Source organism: Homo sapiens, chromosome 21 (genome assembly GCF_000001405.40).
Source record: "Homo sapiens chromosome 21, GRCh38.p14 Primary Assembly".
Taxonomy (NCBI): Eukaryota; Metazoa; Chordata; class Mammalia; order Primates; family Hominidae; genus Homo; species Homo sapiens.
In genome coordinates this window covers 39288622-39304349 of record NC_000021.9, presented here as the reverse complement: position 1 = coordinate 39304349, position 15728 = coordinate 39288622, and the positions used below count along the sequence as shown (strand labels likewise).

The 15728-nt window shown below is 40.1% G+C and overlaps 1 protein-coding gene across 8 annotated transcripts in view; it reads left to right on the top strand.

The window, feature by feature from the left end:
- BRWD1 (bromodomain and WD repeat domain containing 1) overlaps nt 1-15728 on the top strand; it is a 137037-nt gene that overhangs the window by 16863 nt on the left and 104446 nt on the right. For 6 of the 8 annotated variants that reach the window (XM_017028373.2, XM_011529611.2, NM_018963.5 and 3 more), the window contains exons 5-8: nt 5768-5918; nt 7987-8085; nt 8447-8607; nt 10318-10539. In XM_017028373.2, the coding sequence (XP_016883862.1) occupies nt 5831-5918; nt 7987-8085; nt 8447-8607; nt 10318-10539 (570 nt within the window). In that variant the 5' untranslated portion in view covers nt 5768-5830. Of the gene's footprint in view, nt 1-5767; nt 7914-7986; nt 8086-8446; nt 8608-10317; nt 10540-15560; nt 15583-15728 lie in introns of those variants that run through there. The other 2 variants (NM_001007246.3, XM_011529612.2) reach the window with 2 other exon arrangements.

Genomic DNA, 15728 nt, shown 5'->3' with positions numbered 1-15728 from the left:
TGTGAGCCACTGTGCCTTGCTCATTTGTATTTAACATAATTAAACATAATTGGGTTTAAGTCTACCTGTTCTTTATCTCATTTTTTCTTTATTCTTTCTCTCACTTTTTTTTTTTGATTAATCAAGTATTAAGATGACAGCAGGATTTCAAAAAGGTAAAAAGTATTCTACTTATTCTGTATTTCTCTTTTTTTTTTTTTTTTTTTTTGAGAAAGAGTTTCACTCTGGTTGCCCAGGCTGGAGTGCAATGGCGAAATCTCGGCTCACTGCAACCTCCGCCTCCCGGGTTCAAGCGATTCTCCTGCCTAAGCCTCCTGAGTAGCTGGGATTACAGGCGCCCGCCACCACGCCTGGCTCATTTTGTATTTTTAATAGAAACAGGGTTTAACCACGTTGGCCAGGCTGGTCTAGAGCTGCTGACCTCAGGTGATCCACCCGCCTCAGGATCCCATAGTGCTGGGATTACAGGTGTGAGCCACTGCGCCTGGCAACTACTCTGTATTTCTTTTCTTTTTCTTTTTTTTTTTGAGACAGGGTCTCACTCTGTCACCCAGGCTGAAGTACAGTGGCATGATCACAGCTCACTGCAGCCTCAGCCTCCTGGGCTCAAGCCGTCTTCCAACCTTAGTCTCCTGAGTAGCTGGAACCACAGGCATGCACCACCACACCTGGCTATTTTTTTTGTAGAGATGGGGTTTTGCCATGTTGCCCAGGCTGGTCTGGAACTCCTGAGCTCAAATGATCTGCCGTCAGTCTCCCAAAGTGGACCTCGCCTGGCCTAACTATTCCTTTTCTTCATTTTTTTAATAATTTTTTTTTTTTTTTTTTTTGGAGATGGAGTCTCGCTCTGTTGCCCAGGCTGGGGCGCAGTTGTGTGATCTTGGCTTACTGCAACCTCTGCCTCCTGGGCTCAAGCGATTCTCCTGCCTCAGCCTCTCAAGTAGCTGAGATTACAGTCACCTGCTACCATGCCCGGCTAATCTTTGTAGTTTTAGTACAAATGGGGTTTCACCACATTTGCCAGGCTGGTCTTGAACTCCTGACCATTAGTGATCCACCTGTCTTGGCCTCTCAAAGTGCTGGGATTACAGGTGTGAGTCACTGCACCCGGCCTCTTTATTTCTTTTTAGTTATATATCCTTTTATTATTCTTTTGGTGGTTTCCCTAGAGGTTTCAATATACATTACCAATATACATTACTTTACATTAGTTCCTTTACCACTTCCCAAATAAATAAAGTTATAACTGTTAGTTGTCACCATCCTGTCGCTTTGAGCTAGTAATCTTTTTTTTTGAGACGGAGTCTCTGTTGTGCAGGATGGAGTGTGGTGGTGTGATCTCGGCTCACTGCAACCTTTGTCTCCTGGGTTCAAGCAGTTCTCTGCCTCAGCCTCCCAAGTAGCTGGAATTGCAGGAGCATGCCACCACACCCAGCTACTTTCTGTATTTTTAGTAGAGATGAGGTTTTGCCATGTTGCCCAGGCTGGTCTTGAACTCTTGGCCTCAAGTGATCCGCCTGTCTGGGCCTCCCAAAGTGCTGGGATTACAGGCATGAGCCACCATGCCTGGCCTTACTTTTTTTTTTTTTTTTTTTAAGACGGAGTCTCACTCTGTCACCTAGGAGTGAGTGCAGTGGTGTGACCTTGGCTCACTGCAACTTTTACCTCCCAGATTCGTGATTCTTGTGCCTCAGCCTCCCAAGTAGCTGGGATTACAAGCATGTGCCACCATGCCTGGCTAATTTTTGTATTTTTAGTAGAGGTGGGGTTTCACCATGTTAGCCAGGCTGGTCTTGAACTCCTGACCTCAGGTGATCTGCCCACTTCAGCTTTCCAAAGTGCTGAGATTACAAGTCTGAGCCACTGCTCTCAGCCCGGCCTTACCACATATTATAAAAGTTTCAAGATGTTGTTACTGTTGTTTTAAAGTCAATAATCACTTGCTTACCTACCTATACATCTTTTCTGGTATTTTAAATTTTTTCCTCCACTTCCATGGGACCTATTTGTGGTAATTTTTCTTCTGTCTGCAGAACTTATTTTGTTATTTCTTTTAATGAAGGTTTGGCTGGGCTTGGTGGCTCACGCCTGTAATCCCAGCACTTTGGGAGGCTGAGGCGGGTGGATTACCTGAGGTCAGGAGTTCGAGACCAGCCTGGCCAACATGGTGAAACCCCTTCTCTACTAAAAATACAAAAATTAGCTGGGTGTGGTGGCGTGTGCTTGTAATCCCAGCTACTTGGGAGGCTGAGGCAGGAGAATCACTTCAACCTGGGAGGTGGAGGTTGCAGTGATCCAGCATTGGGGCCACTACACTCCAGCCTGGACCACGGAGCAAGACTGTCTCAAAAAAAAAAAAAAAAAAAAAAAACACACAAAGCTTTTTAACAAAGGTTTGTTGACAGTGACTTCAGTAGCTATGGAATTCTGATTCATAGTCCTTTTTTTTTTTTTTTCGGCACAGTAAAGATGTTCTACTGCCTTATGCCTTCCTAATGTTGGAAATTTAGCAGTCTTATTGCTCCTTTGAAAATAATGTTGTTTTTGGTCTGGTTGCTTTTAGGATTTTTATTTTGTCTTTGATTTTCAGCAGTTTTACTATGTTGTCCTGTAGTCATGATCTATTGCTGTATAACAAATTACCCCAAAATTTAGCAGCTTAAAACTACACTAATTTGTTGTTATCTGCCAGTTTCTGTAAGTCAGCGGTCCAGACACAGCTCAGATGGGTTCCCTGTCTCCTTTTCTCTGAAGGTGCAGTCAAAATATTGGCAGAACTGGGGTTTTAGCTGAAGGCTTGACGGGAGGAATAGGCTTCCAAGCTCATGTAGTTTTGGCAGGATTCGGTTCCTGGAGGGTTGTTTGACTGAGGGCCTCAGTTTCTACCTGACTATTGGCCACTCTCAGTTCCTCGCCCTTTTGGTCTTTCCAGTGTGATAGCTTGAGTTATCAAAAGATGAAAGCTGACGAGGCAGTAGAGTCTTAGCAAGACAGAAGTCACAATTGTAACCTAATCATAGAAGTAGTATCCTCTCAATGTTACTGTTTTCTGAAGTAAATGAGGAGGGGATTTCACAAGTCTGACTACCAAGAGGTTTGGGCACTATTAGCGGGCATGTCAGAAGCTGCCTTTCACATGTGCACCTAGGTGGTTTCCTTTTTTTTTTTTTTTTGTGGGAGCCTTGCTCTGTCACCCAGGCTGGAGTGCAGTGGCGCCATCTTGGCTCACTGCAAGCTCTGCCTCCTGGGTTCACGCCATTCTCCTGCCTCAGTCTCCCCAGCAGCTGGGACTACAGGCACCTGCCACCACGCCTGGCTAATTTTTTTGTATTTTTAGTAGAGACAGGGTTTTACCGTGTTAGCCAGGATGGTCTCGATCTCCTGACCTCGTAATCTGCCCGCCTTGGCCTCCCAAAGTGGGTTTTCTTTGCATTTATTTTTCTTGGGTTCTCTGAGCTTTTTGAATAAGTGGTATGATATCAAATAGTTTAATGTGTAATTAAAGTCCCAAGTGGAAAGGATAGAGGGGAGAAGTAGTTTGAAGAAATAACAGCTAAGCATTTTTGAACATCTGGGCCATCTCTAGGTCTGCTTCTATTGACCATTTCCCCTCTTGACCATGGGTCATATATCTAGCTTTGTTGTGTATCTCATCATTTTTTTGAGGTATGCTGTAACTTTTTGTGTAAAGAGTAGAGGCTGCAGTAATGTATTTACCTCTGGTAAAGATGTGCTCTTTTCTCAAGCAGTTAGTGTGTGAGACAGGGTCAATCTAATTTGTAATTGATCATCTCTGAGCTTTGTTACATTCAGTAAATCACTGGCTTTCCATGCTTTGAGGGTGGCATCAATACTTTCCCTTCCAGCAGAGTTTGACATTTGGCCCTCATGAAATTTCTGAGATGTCTTATTTTTTACACTGGAGTTGCCACCTTTCCAAACTTTGTGAGATCTTTTTCTACTTTGTACCTGACTGCCAACTTTTTAGGTTGCTACAGAGTTCGCTCTGCCTTGCCGTCCTGCTCTAGGCTTTCCATGTCAGAAGAGATCATTCTCCACCCTGTTGTCCTATCTCTAGCCTTAGGAGGGCCACTACAGTGCATTTCTTCCAGGGCTGCCCTGGCTTTAGTGTTTGGGCCCTATGCAGTTGGTGAAGGCCTATGGGAAAAAATTGTGGTAGGTGTGCAGACTCACTGTAACTGAGGCGCCTTAGGATTCTAATCAGTCATGCCGGCCACAAGTAGCCATTAAGTTTGTTAGAGGTTTGAGTGGTTTTTTCTTATTCTTTTCTGAGGTCAGTTCTTCCTGCCTCTCTGCTAGGGGTGTAAGCAGCTATGAGTCCCTTTTCTTTAACTTTATTTTTTTTAGATGGAGTTTCACTCTTGTCGCCCAGGCTGTGGAGTGCTATAGCATGATCTTGGTTCACTGCAACCTCCGCCTCCCAGGTTCAAGTGATTTCATACCTCAGCCTCCTAAGTAGCTGGGATTACAGGCGCCTACCACCACACCCAGCTAATTTTTGTGTTTTTTTTTTTTTAGTAGAGATGGGATGTCACCATTTCCGCCAGGCTGGTCTCGAGCTCTTGACCTCTAGTGATCCACCTGCCTCGGCCTCCCAAAGTGTTGGGATTACAAGCGTGAGCCACCGTGCCCAGCCTGAGTCCCTTTTCTGTTCCCAGAAAAGCTTGTACTTTGTGGGATTAGTTAATGTAGATTTTTCTTTGTTTCTTCAGCTGTGATGGGTTTATACATTTTTTAAAGTTTATCCAGCCTATTCTCATTGTCGAGATGAGAGCAATATCTTTTATCTCTTACGTTGGAGTAAATAAATGATTATTTTTCATTTAAAATTATAACAGACATATATTTGTCTATAGTAATCCATAGGTATATCCACTTATGGCTCCTGGCACCTAATAGGCTGTCAGTACTTACTGAAAGAATTAATGTTTTTTACTGCCTAGTATGTTGTTGAGAACCAGTTATCCATGATTTAGATACTAAATGATGTCTTATAGGATCTTTGATATCTTAACATCTCTCTCAAAGATGTATGCTTCACTTACAGGCCAGTTAGCATATATATATATTTTTTTTTTTTTGAGACAGGCGAGTTAGCGTAATATGTATATATATTTTTTTCTTGTTGCCCAGGCTAGAGTGCAATGGCACGATCCCAGCTCACTGCAACCTCCACCTCCTGGGTTCAAGTGATTCTCCTGCCTCAGCCTCCCAAGTAGCTGGGACTACAGGTGTGCACCACCATGCCTGGCTAATTTTGTATTTTTAGTAAAGATGGGGTTTCACCATGTTGGTCAGGCTGGTCTCGAACTCCTGATCTCAAGTGATCCACCTGCCTTGGCCTTACAAAGTGCTGAGATTACAGGTGTGAGTCACCATCCCTGGCCCAGTTAGTGCAATTTTGAGTAAAGTCTTGATTTCAAGTCTTGAGATTAAGTTTTGTTAGCTCTGCAACCTTTTTTCTTTTTCAGAGGTGCTTTTCCAGGTCATTTGCATATAAATTTTAGAACAAAATTGTCAATTTCTACAAAAAAAAATGTTGCTGAAGTTTTGAGTGTTACAGGTTTGAATCTGTAGCTCAAATCTGTAGATCAGCTTATTGTTTATTTAAGTCGTCTTTAATTTCTCTCAGCATGTTTTACAGTTTTCAGTGTATGTTTTTCACATTTTGCCAGACTTATCCCTAAGTATTTAATAGTTTTTGATATTATTAAGCTGTTGTCATTAAAACTTGCTCTCCAACTAGGTCTTGTCCAATAAGCATGTGGCTCCTGATCATCTTTTGCAAATCTGCCAGCGCATCGGTCCTATGTTGGATAAAGAAATTCCACCCAGTATTTCAAGAGTCACTTCTTTACTTGGTGCAGGAAGGCAGTCTTTGCTACGTACAGCAAAAGGTACCTTAATTTGAAGAAGTGTTCTGCTTTGTATTAATAGCCTAATAATTATTATAATTGTGAAGTAATGTAAGCATTGTGGAAGAAAGGTGATAATGTAACTATAAATCATGCTGTGGACTATAAAATTCTCTGCATTTAGCATAGAACATTGAATTTTATTACATAAGTGTTTAATGGGTCCTTCTGCATTAAAAAGTTGATAAAGATATAGATGTTAAGCTAAAAAGCTTGAATTTATTCTGAGATGTTGTTTGAGGTTTTATCAATGTGAGTTCTTAATTTTCCATTTTGTAGCTCACTCATAACTTCATTGAATGTAATTGTATGTGTCTAATAAACTCTTTAAATGCTAGAGGTATTTCATTTGATATTTAGCTTCTGAAAGCCCTTTGTTATAAAGGGAAGTGATTTTCTAAATTTGGTAGCAGCTTGAAAACAAGCACCACAAATGTAAAACTGCATGGTTCTTTTTTTACTAATTTAATTTTTTTGCCAAGTTATGTGCTAGCAAAATGTTTGAAATTGCTATTCTTTTTCTGTTAGCTTGGTATATATGACTTAGACTAAGTATATGTATGTGATATAATATATGTGTACATGTGGCTAAACTGCTAATGGGCAAAGATTGTTGGTTCTTCTGATGCTGAGTATACATCAAGTTCATCCCATGATTATTTTTTATTACGAGCTATTGCTGATGTGATGCTACTCTTAGCTGCACCACCAGTATAAAGCTTAACTGAGAAAGAACACCCCTCCCTCTTAGTTCCGTGCCAGACTGGTTTGTTAGCTTTAGTTGTTTCTTAGTGCTCTAGCCATGTCACCCTGTGGCACTAATCAGGACACTGTTTATATTCTTCCTCTTCTGTGTCCCTATTCACTTTGTAATTATTCTATTTTAGCTGGTTATATGGTAGTTAATTGGTAGCCTGTTTTCCTTTGTTTTCTTTACTTGTGTCAAGCTCCATGTCGTTGTTTTGTGATGAGCAGTGATTTAGAACTGGCCAGACCTTAGAAGAGTCTTCAGCAAGCTGCCCTAGGGTAGGGGCGTATTCTCTGTTTGTTTTGTACTGGTACCCCAGGAGGATGCCTTGTAACTGCTCTTTGGTCATGATAGTGGTAATGAATCCATTCATGTAAAATGCAATATGTCTGTTAGTTTGGGGCACCCGAGGCTCAGTAGAGGTTTAGTATGATGCCTTCCCTTTCTTCTTTGAGTTATGAAGAAACTAATTTCTGGCACAGTGTGACTGCTTCAAACCTATGTTCTGCTGCTATCTCCTATAGAGGAGGGCAGACTTTTTTTTCTTAGTGCATTTGCTGGTAGGTCAAGGAGGGATGGACTTTGAATTAGTGTTCAGAGTCACAGATCCTACGTATGTGCTCTTCAGTAGAGGATTTTCTGTGATCCTACAATGAAGGGAAAGCTATATAATTTATTGGTACTTCCTAAAGATAGAGACTAAAGTCATGGTAGTATTGGCCAAATTAATTTTAAAACTGAACAAGTCATGAATTTTCATATAAATCAAAGAACTTTTTCCTTATAAAAGCTTCCATTTTTGAAAAGTTGGATCAGTTGTAAGACCTTTCATCTTTAGTATTGTATGATATAATTCTACATTGAAAAATAAACACTTGGCATTAAATGGGACTTGGAGTCAAAAGATCTGGTTTTATGGTCCATCTTTTACCAATCATTTGCTGTGGATCTCTTTAAAGGTCCTGGAACCTTTGAGCCTCAGTTACCTCACTTGTAAATTGGCAAAAATACCTACCTCACAGGGTTGTTGTGAGGATTCAATGAGCTAATGTATGTTGAAAGCACTTTGTGAATTGTAAAGTGCTACACAAATGTTAGTTGTTGTTGCTGCTGTATCTGAGATGTCTTAATTTTCTTTTTCTTCAGAAATAGTCTAATAAACCTCCAGGGCTTTTCTGTTAAAGTATACTAGTTGGTAAAATGTTGAATAAACAGTTTATTACAATATACGTAAGTATTCTATAAAATCTTTCTTGGGGTTAACTTTCAAGATTTTATGTGTATCTAAAATTCATTTTAAAGACTGCAGGCACACAGTTTGGAAGGGCTCTGCCTTTGCTGCTCTTCATAGAGGAAGACCTCCTGAAATGCCAGTGAATTATGGTTCCCCACCAAATCTTGGTAAGTAAGGTTGGCCTTTGAGATGCCTGAAATAATTGTTTTTAAATTTCTCAACAACCTTTATAAATGCTGTATTAAAATTTAAAAGGAAATACTGGTTGAAATGTTGTTTTAATAGTAATAAGTATCAAATGTCAAATTATTGTTAAAATAATTACTAAAAATAAAATTAATAAAAAATCTTTTTATAGTAAGAAGTCTATGTTACTGAATACAGAAGAATAGAATTGGGAAGAAATTGTGTCATTAGGGCTTCTTGAACATAGATTTTTGTGACCCTCTAGAAATTGTTATTTGAGTTTTTCTTAGATTTTTCCTTATTGGCTCTCCCTTAACCATTTTCATTGTTTTTATTTCCTAGTGGAGATACATCGAGGAAAACAACTCACAGGGTGTTCCACTTTTAGTACAGCATTTCCAGGAACTATGTATCAGCATATAAAAATGCACAGAAGGATTCTCGGACATCTATCTGCTGTTTACTGTGTAGCATTTGATAGGACAGGACATAGAATCTTTACAGTGAGTAAAAATTTTAAACTTGATTTGATGTCATCTAGAGTACTTTAGTGTGCTTCAGAATCATCTAGGAAATCTTAGTTTCTGTTTCCCATCCTCAGAGATTTTGACTCAGTAGGTATGGTGTGGGTCTCACGAATTTGTATTTTTAATAAGTGCTTCAGCTGAAGATAGGACTCTGTGCTGTTTTGAAAGACAGTGATTTAGAGTAGTCGTTCTTAAATGTGATATTTAAGGATGCTTAAAAATAGACATACCTGGCCGGGCGCGGTGGCTCACGCCTGTAATCCCAGCACTTTGGGCGGCCGAGACAGGCGGATCACGAGGTCAGGAGATCGAGACCATCCTGGCTAACACGGTGAAACCCCATCTCTACTAAAAATACAGAAAAATTAGCCGGGTGTGGTGGTGGGCGCCTGTAGTCCCAGCTACTCGGGAGGCTGAGGTAGGAGAATGGCGTGAACCTGGGAGGTGGAGCTTGCAGTGTGCAGAAATCGCCCCACTGCTCTCCAGCCTGGGCGACAGAGCGAGATTCCGTCTCAAAAAAAAAAAAAAAAAAAAAAAAAAAAACATAGACATACCTAACACTTTCCCTCTAGCACATTCTAGACTTACTGAATTAGATTACATTGTAATTAAATATATGTATTAACTGTAAACCCCCCAAAATAAAAAGCTCCTCAGACCTCTACAAGTGATTCATGTTCACATTAATCACTGGTTCAGGAAAATGGGTTGATTATAAAATAACCCATTAGTGTTCAAGTAAGTATTAAAAACCTATCTGAAAAAATTTGGAATTTATCATTTTAATGTTTTAAGCGTAAGTTAGGAGAGGTGAGAAGTTTAACTTTCATTTTGTGGGTGTAAAATTCAAGAGTAGATAATCAAATGTTTCTTGAATGGGTGCTGGCTAGTACTGTAAACTTGAGACTGTGTTCGTGAGGAGGCTATTCCCACCACTTTTGTTTGTTTTTGGGATTGCCACTTAGTCCTGTTTCTCACACTATGAAGTATAGATCTGTTCCAACATTCATCACATTCATCACATTATATAGCTTGATGTGAATAGACTTTTTTTTTTTTTTTTTGAGACGGAGTCTCACTCTGTCACCTAGGCTGGAGTGCAGTGGCGCAATCTCCGCTCACTGCAAGCTCTGTCTCCTGGGTTCACACAATTCTCCTGCCTCAGCCTCTTCAGTAGTTGGGACTACAGGTGCCAGCCACCACGCCCGGCTAATTTTTTGTATTTTTTAGTAGAAAGGTTTCACTGCCTTAGCCAGGATGGTCTCGATCTCCTGACCTTGTGATCCGCCCACCTGGGCCTCCCAAAGTGTTGGGATTACAGGCGTGAGCCACTGTGCCTGGCCTAGACTAACATTTAACCATTGTTAGTTGATATAAGAGAGCCGTGAACTTTGAGTTGGACTTACTACTTTGCAGAGAACTTGGGGGAAAATAGTATTGGTAATGGAGTCTGACCCGTAGAAATGATAACTCGGCAGTATCTTTATGTAGACTGTCTTTGCCTTAAAGAAAAATACTATTATTCCATAGGTGTTCTGACCATAGTCATAATTTATTACATAAATAAGAGAGTATTCTATAGTTGGAAAGAGTTAAAGTTAATTTGGATGGCATATAAAAGGTATTCTTTTAATATTTAAAAGATTTGCTGTACTAACATTAATTTTTGGATATATTTTTTCTTAGGGTTCAGATGACTGTTTGGTAAAGATTTGGTCAACACATAATGGCCGCTTGTTATCTACATTAAGAGGTCATTCTGCAGAAATTTCAGATATGGCAGTAAACTATGAGAATACAATGATTGCTGCGGGGAGCTGTGATAAAATTATTAGAGTGTGGTGCTTGAGAACTTGTGCCCCAGTTGCTGTGCTCCAAGGACACACAGGATCAATTACATCTTTACAGGTAAACTTGTAGCTTAGTGGGCACATTCCTATATGTATTTTCACCTTTTTCTTTAAAACAGTTTCTTTGGAATTGAGAAATAGTAAGATGTGTATTAGTTATGTTTTAAGTAAGAGAAGTGATAATCATTCATACAAATCATACAAATCATGGAAGGCTGATGAAATGAAGATCTAATGCATATTTACATGAAGGCTTATTGATATTTTGGGGTTTATGGTTGAACTGGATGAGTGTCAATTAGAAACTGGTGATAGATTAATTATTTTTCAACTTTAAAACTTGTGGATTTTGCTAAGTTGATTTTTTTTTTTTTTTGAGACTGAGTCTTGTTCTGTTGCCCAGGCTGGAGTGCAGTGGTGTGATCTCAGCTCGCTGCAACCTCTGCCTCCTGGGTTCAAGCGATTCTTGTGCCTCAGCCTCCCGAGTAGCTAGAATTACAGGTGTCCACCACCACACCCGGCTAATTTTTGTATTTTTAGTAGAGACAGGGTTTCACCATGTTGGGCAGGCTGGTCTCGAACTCCTGACCAAGTAACCTGCCCGGCTCAGCCTCCCAAAGTGCTGGGATTACAGGCGTGAGCCACCGTGCCGCTTAGTTGATTTAATTTACCAAAATATTTAAAGTTTTTTTCACAATAAGCAGAGGATAATTTTGAACCTATACAGAGTAGACAGAATTGTATAAACCCCTATGTATCTGTCAACCCATGGCCAATTCTTTCCTAACTGCTTCATCTTGTACCTAAAGCGAATCCTAGGTTTTATATAATTTCTTCTGCAAATATTTCATTCTGTATTTCTAAAAGATAAGGATTCCCCTCCCCACTTTTTTTCATAGTGACGGTTATGATGGAAGGAAAAGATTCCTTTTTAAAAAAACTGCAACACCATTATCACACTATTTATTGATGTTCAAGTTTCCAGTTGTCTCATAATGGTATTTTATTTAGGTTGTTTGAATCAGGAGCAAAACGAAGCCTGCATGTTACAATTGGTTGCTGTAGAATAAAAGAAACTTAAAATATAAATTTCACCTATCTATGCAGTTTAAAAAAAATTCGCTTGCAGTTTCTTCGTTGAAGGACCTAGGTTATCTATAGTTTCCCCACAGTTTGGATGTTGCCCATTGTATCCTGTTGGAGTAGTTTAATATGTTCCTCTGTATTTCTGTTAAGTTGGTTATTGGATGTAGAGCAGTGGTTCTCTTTAATGTGCATGAGAATCACCTGGAGGGCTTGATTAAAACATTGTTAGGCACTACTCCCAAAGTTTCTGATTTCAAAACGTCTGGGGCGAGGGTATGAGTATTTCATCACTGATAGAGAATTGATCATCTTGGGATGTAAGTTCTTCCATCAGAAGGCACAAAATGTCTAGTGTTTTTTGTATTACTCACTGATGATCATTGCCTTACATCCGTTAGTTATTAGGGACAGAAAATGTTACTCTTACTAGTGCACGGTTCTTGGCTGTCAGTGTAACAGAAATTAATAGGAGGCTAGGCAGACTTCCCAGACAAGATTTATTAAGACTTATGCTGAGATTTATTAAGACTTGTGCCTAGCGATGGCTCATGCCTATAATCCCAGCACTTTAGGGAGGCTGAGGTGGGAGGATCACTTGAGCTCACAGGTTTGAGACCCGGCCTGGGCAACTTAGTGAGACCCCCCCCCCCACCCCCACCCACCCCCCACAAAAAATAGTTTGGCAAGGTAGCACACGCCTGTAGTCTCGGTACTCCTGAGGTTGAGGGAGGATTGCTTGAGCCAGGAGGTTGAGGCTGCAGTGAGCCGTTATCGCACCAGTGCATTCCAGCCTGGGTGACAAAGTGAGACTGCCTCAAAAAATAAAAATAAAAAAAGAGACTTATGCCTGAAACATTGGGAATAAGTGAGACAGTGAAGGAAGAAGGGTTCTCTGGCTGGCTCCCCAGGGGAATGCCTTGCCGTGTCTTAAGGAGGGTAATGTGCATAACTCATCAGGTAGGTGAACGTTATTACATGTGTGGGATGGAGCACAGGGTGTGCAGATGCACTAAGGAATCATGCTGACACATATGTCACGTGATGAGAGGGGCAGATAAGCCCCTCTGGGCGAAGGTTTTAGTATTACAATGAGGCTCAGGGTTAGGATTGGTCCTTCTCCTGGCCTTGTGCACATATGGGCGGATAGAGTTAACTCTCCTTAGTAGGATTCATGGTGGAATGCTGCTTGTTTTAGTTTTTTTAGACAACTTACAAGGTCTGGTCAGCGAGTATAGGCCAGTGGGGGTGGTACCAAAATGTCTGGTGGTCAGTGGTCACATATGGAAAAACATGTTGGTGGGGTTGGGCCAAGTGCTGTCCCTACTACCCTGTTTCAGTGCTTTTCTATCATGTTTTGAAACTTAACGTTTGGTTAGACTGAAGTAAATTGTTAGATGATTTGTAAGGCTTTTATTTTATGTTTGATTTATAAGGCTTTTAAAGGTACATTGGTATCTCTCATTAGAATTTGGTGAAAACTGGTGGTGGTTCAATTTTTTTATGCACATTCACCTAGGCTGTGTATTACTGGTCACTTAAATAGATTTGGTGTGAAATTTTATGATAAAAGGTGACTTTTGTTCTAGTCAGTATTCTCAAAGAAAAGAGAGTGAGTAGCTATTTTGGGATGAAGATAGTTATAACTGAGATAGCGGTTTTTGTTTTTGTTTTTTGTTTTTGGCCCAGGCGGAGTGCTGTGGTGCAGTCATGGCTCACTGTAACCTCAGCCTGGGGTCAAGGTCTGCCCATCTCAACCTCTCGAGTAGCTAGGGCCACAGGTGTGTGCTTACCAACCCCGGCTTTTTAAATTCTTTATAGGGATGGAATCTAGCCATGTTGTCCAGGCTGTTCTTGAATTCCTAGGATCAAGCAGTCCTTCTTCCTCCACCTCCCAAAGTGCTGGAATTATAAGCCTGAGCCACCGTGCCTTGCTGAGATAGTGTTTTATTTTGGAAGTTTAAGCAAGATTTTTGGTTTGTGTACTTACTTTTAGTTAAGTATATTGTTCTCTGGAAGATTTTATAGTTTGAAAATTAATTCAAATTCTTGCTAGGTTTCACAGTTAACATTTTATAGTTTGATATGAATGTGTTGACAATATAGCAGCAAATAAGAAAATTTATACTTTGAGAGAGTGCCTGTTTTAAAATCATCTTGGAATTCTTTGAAAGTGGAGTTCTAGTCTTCCCTGAAATGATTCTTCTTGTAACGGGGGCTCACATGCGTTTATCACCTACTGAATATATCTGAACAATCTAATTGGGTAGTAGTACATTTTTTTTTTTTTTTTTTGAGACGGAGTCTTGCTCTGTTGCCCAGGCTGGAGTGCAGTGGCGCAATCTCAGCTCACTGCAATCTCTGCCTCATGGGTTCAAGTGGTTCTTCTGCGCCTCAGCCTCCCGAGTAGCTGGGGCTACAGGCACGTGCCACCACGCCCGGCTAATTTTTTGTATTTTTAGTAGAGATGGGGTTTCACTGTGTTAGCCAGGATTGTCTCGATCTCCTGACCTCGTGATCCACCTGCCTTGGCCTCCCAAAGTGCTGGGATTACAGGTGTGAGCCACCTCGCCCAACCTCAGTGGGTGATTTTAACAGCATCTGAACACAACTGATGAAACTGAAGAGAGAATTAGTGAAGTGGAATTGAGGCCAGAAGAAAATAGATAGAATGGAGTACAATGAGTAATCATTGCAGCCCTAGGGAAAAATTAGAGGACTAATAAGAAGACTGATTGCTAGCTTCTTTTTTTTTTTTTTTGAGATGGAGTCTCACTCTGTCACCCAGGCTGGAGTGCAGTGGCGCGATCTCGGCTCACTGCAAGCTCTGGCTCCCGGGTTCACGCCATTCTCCTGCCTCAGCCTCCCAAGTAGCTGGGACTACAGGCGGCTGCCACCACGTCCGGCTAATTTTTTGTATTTTTTAGTAGAGACGAGGTTTCACCGTGTTAGCCAAGATGGTCTCGATCTCCTGACCTCATGATCCGCCCGCCTCGGCCTCGCAAAGTGCTGGGATTACAGGCGTGAGCCACCGTGCCCGGCCTGATTGCTAGCTTCTTAATAGAAGTAACGGAAGTTGATAGACAAAGAAGTAATATTTTTAAATTGCTAATAGAAAATGCCAGTCAATAATTCTGAACCTATTAAAATATATCATTGAAGAATGAAAGTATATTAAATGCATATTTAGACAAGCTGAGAACTTCTTAGCAATGGAACAACATTAAAGGGAATTCTAAATAATATTCTTTAGGTGGGGATGTGATCCCAGGTGGAAACTTGGAGATGCAAGAAGGAATGAAGACTTAAGACAAAAAAAAAAATGAATGTGTGGGTAAATGGAAATAAACATTGGCTGTATAAGATAAGTAAATTCTGGGCTTCAAAATACATATGGAATTAAAGAATGAATAGTGTGTGTATCAGGAGGCGGTAACTTCAGTATTCTGAGATCTTTGCATTGTTCAAGAAGTGGAAAATAATACAAATTTACATTAGACTTTAAGATGAAGATGCATTTTGAAATCTCTAGAATAACAGCCAAAAGTATAGCAAGAGATTGCATAACTACTAGGCTTAATAGAGGTGGGGAAATATGTACTAATAAAGAAAGTAAAACAAGAAAGGAGAAAAAAACAGTACTAAGATGATACTGGGATAGTAAATGTCAATGTAAACATAATTATATTACTTGCAAGTACATTAAATGGTCTAAAGCAAGTCTCAACTGAAATAATTCTAAGTATATTCTCTGACAACAGTGTAATTAAGCCAGAAATTACTAACAGCCAGAATTAATAACAGATAATCCTCACTTTTTGTAAATTTTATGTATAGTTGACCCTTGAACAATATGGGTTTGAATTGCATGGGTCGACTTATATATAGATTTTCTTCCACCTCTGTCACCCCTGAGATAGCAAGACCAACTCCTCTTATTCCTCCTCCTCCTCTTCAGCCTATTCAACATGAAGACAATGAGGATGAAGACCTTTAAGATGATCACTTCTACTTAATAGTAAATATATTTTCTCTTCCTTACGATTTTCTTGATAACATTTTCTTTTCTCTAGCTTTATTATAAGAATACATTATATAAAACATATACAAAAATATGTGTTAATTGACTGTTCATGCAATTGGTGAGGCTTTATCAATAGTTAA